Source organism: Homo sapiens, chromosome 13 (genome assembly GCF_000001405.40).
Source record: "Homo sapiens chromosome 13, GRCh38.p14 Primary Assembly".
Taxonomy (NCBI): Eukaryota; Metazoa; Chordata; class Mammalia; order Primates; family Hominidae; genus Homo; species Homo sapiens.
Window position 1 is genome coordinate 42,004,111 of NC_000013.11, and position 9,999 is coordinate 42,014,109.

A 9,999-nucleotide genomic window follows, 5' to 3' on the forward strand; every position below is an offset into this window, starting at 1 on the left:
CAGGAAGCTGACGGAGGAGAATCACTTCAACTTGGGAGGTGGAGGTTGCAGTGAGCTGAAATTGCACCACTGCACTCCAGCCTGGGCAACAGAGTGAGTGACACTTGTCTCAAACAAACAAACAAACCAACAAACACAAACAAACAAACAGAAAAGGAACTCAAAGTCTTAACAGAGAAAATAGAGGCTGGCATGAGTTGCACAAATTTCCTCCACTCCCACACAGCCAATATCTGCCTTCACATGTCCCTTACCTTCTTCCCTCCTGTCTCCATGGAAAAGATATTCTTCTTCCTGGTGTGGTATCTATGAGGTATTATAGTTGCTATAGACTGAATGTTTAAGTCCCCTCCAACACTGTACCCAGAATTCATGTGTTGAAACGTAATCCCTAATGTGAGGGTTTTTGAAGGTGGGGCCTTTGGGAGATTATTAGGTCATGACGGTGAAGCCCTCACAAAATGGTTCTGTGTCCTTATTAAAGAGATCTAGTGACTTCTCTCACCCCTTCCACCATGTGAGGACACAGTGGAAAGTGGCCATACATAAACCAGAGAGCAGGCTCTTATTATTATTTTTTTTTTTTTGAGATGGAGTCTTGCTCTGTCACCCAGGCTGGAGTGCAGTGGGACGATCTCGGCTCACTGCAAGCTCCGCCTCCCGAGTTCACGCCATTCTCCTGCCTCAGCCTCCTGAGTAGCTGGGACTACAGGCGCCTGCCACCAGGCCCGGCTAATTTTTTTGTATTTATTTTTAGTAGAGACGGGGGTTTCACCGTGTTAGCCAGGATGGTCTCGATCTCCTGACCTTGTGATCCGCCCGCCTCGGCCTCCCAAAGTGCTGGGATTACAGGCATAAGCCACTGCGCCTGGCCACCAGAGAGCAGGCTCTTATCAGACACCAAATCTGCTGACACCTTGATGTTGGACTTCCCAAACTCCAGAATTGTGAGAAATAAATTCCTGTAGTTTATAAGCTACCCAGTTTATGGTATTTCATTATAGTAGCCCAAATGGACTAAGACAATAATGTAATGTTGGATGTAGAAATCGGATGGCCTGGCTGTCAACCCTGGCGCTACCATTTCCTAAACTAGTGACATAATCTTTCTGTGTCTTGCACCCCTCATGTGTTGCACTCTGCATAGAACAGTGGCAACAACTCAGAGGGCTGGCTTGAGGATTCCATGAAAGAGTGGACACAAAGCACCTAGCCCACGGCCTGGTGTGGCATCGCAGCAGCAACTCTCACTATGCTGTGATCCCCAACCAATTCTCCATCCCTAAACCCAAAAGATACTTTTCACTTTTAATTTCCTTGACCTCTGTATGGTGGCTGGCATTGTTGTCCTCTCTCCCTGGCATTCTTACTGCCCTTGGTTCTCGTTTTATTACTTTCTCATGATTTTCCTTCTACTCCTTCAACCACAGGTTCTCAATATCCATCTTGGAGTTCTCTTTCTTTACTTGCCATTTAAACATCAAGGCTCTGTCATCAACTCTCTTCTTTCCTCATTGTACATATTCTGCATAATCTCACTTACACCTACATCCTTGATAACCCCTTGGAATGGGTTTAGATACATCTGTGTTTCTAGACCTCACCTCTCCCCTCAGTTCACAGACAGTTAATGCATGGCCAGATGCACCCAGTGCTTAAATAGGTTCAGAGTGCTTTTATAAATCGAATAAAGGCAGGTATCGAATGGATTCATGTTTCAGACATCTAATTATAAGACGTTACCACCTGTACATTCTATAGGCACCATAGACATCTAATGAGCAAAGCTGAACTTGCCATATTCCTCATCCCATAAACAAGTTTTCTATCCTTCCCTCTGTATCCACCTACTCTACTGCCATAACCAGAAACTTCTTTCTCCCCTTTTCTCCCATTAAAACACCATTTGCCTTACACAAGTCTTGTCAGTCAACTTCCTAAATTTCTTTTGGATTCATCTCTTTCTCTCTATTCTTGCACATTATCCCTACCTAAATATTCGCACTTCTCCAAGTGTGCTCCCTCTTTTGCTCAAGCTCCTCTGTATGTTAGAAGGCCTTTTCTCCTTTGCCCACTCCTCTTTGAGGTTTAGCTTCGGGCTTGTTTACTCTGGGGAACCTCCTCTCCCTTCTCCAAAATAAAATTAGGAGCCCCTTAATACTCTTTGTAGCCAATGCTTGTGATGCTGTGTGCCACAGCTTCTTGGCCTGCCTGGGAAGGGGCTCATGTGCTTTGCCCACTCCCCACTTCCAGTCCTCTCTGAAGCTTCCCTCTGCTTTGCTGCCTCTGGGCTTTCTCTGAATCCATAGGAAGCTGCTCAGCTTGGTTACAGAAGCAACATAGAAGGGTGGGGGACGCTAATACACCCCAGAGGCAACCGCCAATTAGTAAGGGGCTGGAATCAGTGGATCCTCCAGGGAGATGATTCTGAGGCTCGTTCTACCCAGTTCTTCAGAGGGACTCCAGTGGGGTTGTGCCCCTGATGCCCACAGTTGCTCACTGACACCCTTTATCAGCTTTTTTTATCCCCTGTCTCACCCTCCACACTCTCACCTCTGATTCTTGGAATGATCACCTAAGTAAACACTCATACATCATATTTTTCTTAGGCTACAATTTAGATGGGTGGGGGTACCCAAACTAAGATATGCTCTAATAGCCTCTAGTTTATACCATGAGCATAGAATTTATTATATTGAATTATCATTGCTACTTTACTTTATTCATCTTTGAATATTTAATACCCAGTGCTTTGATATAGAGCCTGGATTAAAATAGACATTACGTAAAATATGTAAAAGCAGGTAGAAAGAGAGAGAGAAAAAGACTTTTTTTTTTTTTTTTCTTGAGACGGGGTCTCACTCTGTCACCCAGGCTGGAGTAGGCAGTGGCACAATCAGAGCTCACTGCAGCCTCAGCCTCCAGGGCTCAAGTGATCCTCCCACCTCAGCCTCCCAAGTAGCTGGGACTACAGACATGTGTCACCCTACCTAGCTAGTTTATTTTGTATTTTTAGTAGAGACAGGGTTTTGCCATGTTGCCCAGGATGGTCTCAAACTCCTGGGCTCAAGTGATCTGCCCGCCTTGGCCTCCCAAAGTGCTGGGATTACAGGCCTGAGCCACCACACCTGGCCGACAAGGAGACTTTTGGCCAATATCACTTGTGCTTAGTGCTGGCTATTCCTACTGCTGTACTTTTCACTTTGTGAAAGTATAAAATTTAAATAATGCCATGCAAATAAAGAATATTACTGGAAAATCGTCTCAAAGTAAAACACAGGCACAGGGTGGGTTTTTGCTTGTCCATTCATGATAAGGGGACTATGAGACTGAGCCGCATCCCATTGTTACATCACTTTGTAAATTACATCACATCTTAATTGTATGCATAGTCGCAGATTCTGTGTGAACATTTGGTTGATAATTTAATGGAACAATGGTTCTTTGGGAGATGCCATTAGAACAAAATACCTGTGATGGAGACAATAATAAAGACTGAGTCAACAGAAGCACCGCCACTGAACTTTCAACTTCCTCAAGAAGTTTGGAAGCAAGATTGGGTATCAGTGATGGGGGCTTGGGGGATATTAAAAAAGTGATACATCTTTTACTGGAATTTCACAGGTGAGTTCTTTGAAACAACTTTAGACAGGAATATGCCTCACTAGTGAATAATAACAAAATCTAGGACATAATTATTTATGAAGTTCTCATCCCAGTAGCACCTAAACACTTTAGAGATATTTGATGTATGGTCTAGATTCACCCAGAGCTTTCTTGGACTCAGGGTGCATTCATAAATGTAATAAAGGTAAATGTCTAATGGATTTATGGTGGAAAGGAGAGAGAGAGAGAGAAAGAAAACAGAAACAACGATTCATTCCCAAGGCATTTGCAAATGTTTGATTGTTCCACACTACCCAAATACCAACCTCAGGAGAAATACTTGTAATGGAGCATAAGTAAGTGAGATAAAACTTCTTGGCCTCAGAAGGAGATTAGTGCCAGGAAATAAAAGAGTAACTTAGGAGAAGTAAAAATTAGTCATAGTAGACTCATATCTCTCTTTTGATTTATTTCTTTTTTCTTCCATTTTAATGTTTTTTATTCTGCTGTTTTTCCCCAGAAGTTCTTTTGTTTATATTCAGAAAATCCAGATAGCCAGGAATCCTTGGTGCAAATCATTTTCTTTCAAAGAGACTTGTGCAGTTACTGATATTCCTTTCCTAGTCTATTTCACTAAGGCCGAGACTATCTATAGAGATGGATTTTCACACAAAATGGATGTTTTAAAAACTTAAAACACAGCTATATTTGGATCTGTGAACTATAAACAGTAGGAAACCTGCAAGATTCTAAAACCTGTTATTTCCCTCTTATTATCTCTATTTTACAAAGCTCTGTGTATTCCATCTTCAGAAGCTACCTCCATTCTTCCAGTTCAAGAAAATTTACCTTAACATATTGCTAAGGCTTTAGATTTTTCTGACCCCCAGATGTCACCCCAGAAATGATGCATACCACTCAGTACAATTTGCATCATTACACAAAAGGGACTCTCCTTGGAAACCTTTTATGCACTTCTAAAACATAATAGTATTAAAAGAAATGTGTTCTTTTTAAGATAACAACCGCTGTTAACTCCCCCACTAGAGCTTGCTGAAGCATTTGACAATTAACCCAGCTTACTACTGGCTTGAAATGATTTGGCAATGGTTTAACTCTTTTGGGAAATGCTTTTTCCATTTTTTTTTCCTTTTTAGTGCATTTTAATACATTTAAATTTCATCTCTATTCTTCCTCTACACTTATCCCTTAACACACGACTACATTTTTGGTTATATGTGTTTGTGGTTATTAAAAACATATAGAATCATTGTGTTGTGGGGTGAATTATGTGTCCCAAAATTCATATGTTGAAGCACTAACCTCTAGTACCTGAGAATGCTACTGTATTTGGAGACAGAGCCTTGAAAAAGGTGATCAAGTTAAAATGAGCCTGTTAGGGTGGGCCCAAATCCAATATCATTGGTGTCCTTATAAGAAGAGCATATTTGGACATACAGAGACATACTAAGGATGCATGTGCACATGTGAGGGCACAGGAAGTAGGCGGCCATCTGCCAGCCACAGAGACCACTCCTGTTAGCACCTTAACCCCCAGAACTGTGAGAAAATCAGTTTCTGTCGTTTAAGCCACCCAGTCTACAGTATTCTATTATGGCAGCCCTAGCAGACTAATACAACTAGATTCTCTCTGCTGCATCCCATCCACGGAGTCGTTTCAGCCTTCACTTGAATAGTTAGTGGGGCCACTCCCCACTATTTCACTTAGGGCAGTCCTTTGCACAAGCATTTCCTTCTGTTCTGAGTTACTAGGATTTCCCACAGTAATTCCACTGCCTGAAATGACATCACAATACATACAGAGATGTCCTTTGATTTTTATAGAAACCCAGTGCTTTCAAAATTGGCCAGGCACGGTGGCTCACACCTGTAATCCCAGCATTCTGGGAGGCCGAGGTGGGTGGATCACTTGAGGTCAGGAGTTGGAGACCAGCCTGGCCAACATGGCGAAAACCCCATCTCTACTTGAAAAAAAAAAAAAAATTAGCCAGGCACAGTGGCACGCACCTGTAATCCCAGCTATTCAGGAGGCTGAGGCAGGAGAATCTCCTGAACCCAAGAGGCAGAGGTTGCAGTGAGTTGAGATCGCACCACTGTGCTCCAACCTGGGTGACAGATCGAGACTTCACTACAAAAAAAAAAAAAAAAAAAAAAAGAAGCCCAGGGTTTTTAAAATAAAATCAATAAGTTGATTACAAATGTCCCTAAATGACTGAATGTCCAGGCAGTGCCTCCGAACTCTGTTGCACTGTCCACATACACTTAATTGCTAAACCCAGATTCTTCTGCCTCCATCACAAGATTCAAGACTTGCTGTTCCCTTCCTATTCTCTTAGTCAATGTGGTCTTAACTGTCATCTTGCTGGTTTTTCTGCCTCTAACTTTCGGTAGTTCCTACTAAAAAGAGATAGTCTTATGAACACTGGAGGGGTAGAACATGCTGTGGCTGATCACCCACTTTTCACCATCCTATTTTTATTTGATGAGATTGAACTACACTGAACAACAAAGCATGCCTTTTAAAAGAAGGAAAAAGACACCCAGAGGCAGTAGAGATGCTCCATATGAGGAACACAAACTCTTTGCCTTGTATATACTGTGTGTTGCACCAGCTTCCTAACAAGGGTCCATGTTTCTGTCCTTGTACCACTACAATCCACTGAAATCCGAGTAGCCCAAGGATGATTTTAAATTCTAAATCATATCCACACAGGCCCCCCCCCCCCACCCCGCCAACCCACTCCCTTGGCTTTCCATCTCACTCAGGGTAAAACCTGAGTCCTCACGATGGCCTGTTAGGGTTTCATGCCTGGGCTCCCTGTGATGTCTCTGACACCTACCACTGACTTGGGCTCTGCTGTCATCAAACATTGCTGACTTCCTCACTGTGGCCTTTTCTCCTGTTATTCCTTCAGCTTGGAATTCTTTTCCATCAGCTATCTGTCAGAACCTTGCTCAAATGACATTCTTCCTTTTTTCAGCCTCTCCCAATCCCACGAATAATAAAAATATTGATGACAATAACAGTAGTAATAGCAATAAAAACATGGTCTTTTCTACCTTTGTTTACAGTTTTTGTCAAGGGTCTCTCCACTCAGTTCTCTGGGAAGAGGCACAATTTAAACAGCGTAAGTGCCAAAGATGAGGATGTAGATGTTCTCTACTGTCTCACAGGTACCACCCTGGGAACTCACATGCTAAAAAGTAATGTCAAGGATACTGACCAATATTGTGGTACTCATTTGCAAAGCTAGCTTTAATTAGATTTTTTTAAAAACTTATATTTGCAAGATTAATATAAAGTAGTGAGTGAATTAATACAATTGTATTGCTTGATGTCCATTTCTTTTCTTCCTGCATCTAGGTCGAAAATTTAATTCCTAGCTTTGTGGTTTCTTCCTAAAAAATGGTCATTTGTATTCCAGAATCAACCTCTCCTCACCGATCAAGTCCTCAGGGGACATCTGAAATAATCCTAATGGAGGGTGCTGTCAGCCGCCGCTGCACCTGCTAAATGTCTTGAGATCCGCAAAGGCTCACCTGAATGCTTTGCACAGTTGCCTCTGAGGAACATGTGTCTTGCCTCATTTGCACTTCTTTGGACATTTAATTGCAGTATGCATCACACTCCACTGCAAGTATTTCTTTAGCTGTCTGCCTGAATTCATATCCTCTGAGCTCTTTAAGGACAGGATCTTTAGTAATCATGCTGAAAAATCCAAACAGTTCACAAGCAGAAAGTTCCGCATGCCCCTAATCCTTCACTTCTACTTCCAGAAAGGTCCCCTGTTAAATCTCTGAAATACCTTCCTGAATTTCCCTATGTATAAACAAGCATGTGTCTATACATAGCAGGCGTGATTATTTTCAGGACCTCACATTCAGGAGTGGAAAATGTAACTTTTTAAAAATAACATTTTAATCTCTATTTTGAGCACCAGTTCTGTCAAGAAGCAGAACACGTTATGTTTGTCAACTCAGAGGAAACTCAGGCATTTCAGGAGTTTGCAGTCGCTGGAGGAGCTTCCTCTCTGTTCTTCCGCCCTGGATTATTGTCATTCTTGCTGTTGTTCTAGATTCTGGGGGTGGGGCGTTGTGGAGGTGGCCAGCTATCGGTCAGATCTAAACACACTAGCATCTACTTTGGTGCCCACTGCCCACATCTGGCTCTGGGCTACTGCTGTCCATTCGCCCTCCACCGTGGCATCAGGTATAGACCAGGTGGCTGAAGCTGCATCTGCTAATGGGGTTGCCTAATGCCGACCCAGAGCTTCCAGCTGGCTGTGGATTCTTTCCATGAAACCGGAGTCTGCTTCCTGGACCCCAGCCAGTGAAGGTGCCCCAGGCCCATCGGCCTGGCACACCTTCTACCTCTCTCTCTATGCTCCTGTGTCACGACAGCAAAGAGAACGTCCTTGTTCTCTTGCTCCCCTACCTTCTCTGCGGCCAGCCCAAGGTGGGCGGGGCTCTGGTCCTCTGCACGATGTTACTCCCACCAGCTCTCCTCTGTCCCCTGCTCCCTTCTCTCCTGGAGTATTTTTATCTCCTCTAAAGCAGGAAAACTGGCTCTTGGATCAACAGTCATTCTTTCCAACGCTATTTGTTTAACCCATTGTCTCTGCCAGTAGTTTCAAAAGTCTATTTTGAAATTAAAAAGCTGAGAATTAATTCTTTTATTCTCTGTTCAGTTGTGGCCCTGCTTCCCTGAGGCCCAGAAGGCCCTCATTGCTTCCTGCAGTGGGTGTTGGGGTACAGAGGTAATGGCAATGATGGTGATGGCGGTGGGGAGGAGGACTCAGTAAACAAAGGATTCTCCCACCACATTTACAGATTTTTTTTTTTTGGCCCAAAAGTGTAATCCTTCTGTACCTACTATTCTAGTTTGCTTTTTTAACTTAATAAAATATACGGGCTATCTTTACAAATCATTACTTATATATCTAGCTCATTCCTTTTCACATTTTCATAATATATCTTTGTCTTGATATACTATTTTTATTAACCAGTCCACTGTTGATGGAAATTTAAGTAGTTTCAGGTTTGGCTTTCCAAACAAAGCAACAATGTGCATCCTTATAAACACATACTGGCTTATTTATAATGGGATATCCATAGTATAGTTTGCTAGAAATGGAATTGCCAGATCACACAGTATATCCACTTTACATTTTGGTTCACATTGGCACACCATTTCTAAAAATGTGTACCAGTTTACACTCCCAGCAAAAGGATATAAGAACATCAATTTCCTACAGCATTTACCAACACTAGACATTTGTCAAGCTAGAAATTGTACTTGGTTCTTTTGGGGTTCTTATTTTTTATTTTATTTTTGAAACAGGGTCTTGCTCTGTCATTCAGGCTGGAGTGCAGTGATGCAGTCTCAGTTCACTGCAGCCTCAAACTCCTGGGCTCAAAGCCATCTTCCTACCTCAACCTCCCAAGTAGCTGGGACTACACGTGTGTGCCACCACGCCTGGCCTGGGGGGTTTTTTTTCATGTAAATTGATCACTCATTTTCTCAGACCAGTTTTTTTCTACTAAACATTTGTGTTTCTTATTGATTTATAAAAGGCCTTCATATGTGAAGGAAATTCTACCTTTGACTACTTTTCTTAATTTGCTTTATTTTTAACTTCATGAATGCCTTTTTTCTGTGTAAAAGTTTAAATGTTGTATGGAGTAAAATATGTGAAATCTATTCTTTTCTGCCTTTGCTAAGACACCCAGGAAAAACTTACCTCATTTAAATAATAAATTAATATTAATTTATATTTTATTATCATGCTTTTTTGTTTTTCTATTTCACACCTTATTGAAATTTATTCAGGTGTAAAGTATAAGGTGGGGATATAATGTTATATTTTTCCAAATATTTCAAATACCTTTTATTGAATATTCTTTCTATGGAGTACTTTTAAGGCAAAAGTATTACATGTAGCTCTACGATATAATCTTAACAATTTGGGGATTATCCAGGACAGGGGCTTTTCTCACTCCTCTTTCCCCAGTCACTTCTTCCTTAAAGTAGGCCAGTGAGGCATATTTTTACCTTTATATGGATCTAATGAAGAGAGGAGACCAAGGCAAATGACCCCAGTTGGCTCTTCTTCCTTCCAAAGGACGGGAGCTATTGCGGAGAGATACGGGAGCTATTGCGGAGAGATGCCGAAGCACACTCCGCGGAGGGAAGCCGAAGCACACTCCGCGGAGGGAAGCCGAAGCACACTTGTTAGAGGCAGAGCTTGTTAGAGGCAGAGGATTTCTGCTAGTAGTGTTGGACTCCTTGCTGAAAGTAAGTCTAGGTGTTAGCAGTGACTCAGCAGGCTGTTCTCTTGGAAGGTGACTTGTGCACAACCCTGAGCAAGTCAT

The 9,999-nt window shown here is 42.3% G+C and overlaps 1 long non-coding RNA gene across 1 annotated transcript in view; it reads right to left on the minus strand.

Annotated features, from left to right (window-relative positions):
- LOC105370176 (uncharacterized) overlaps positions 1-9,768 on the minus strand; it is a 39,040-nt gene extending 29,272 nt beyond the window's left edge. The window contains exon 1 of the long non-coding RNA XR_941905.3: positions 9,680-9,768. This is a non-coding gene — a long non-coding RNA (uncharacterized LOC105370176). The remainder of the gene's footprint in view (positions 1-9,679) is intronic.
- Positions 9,769-9,999: the final 231 nt, after the last annotated feature.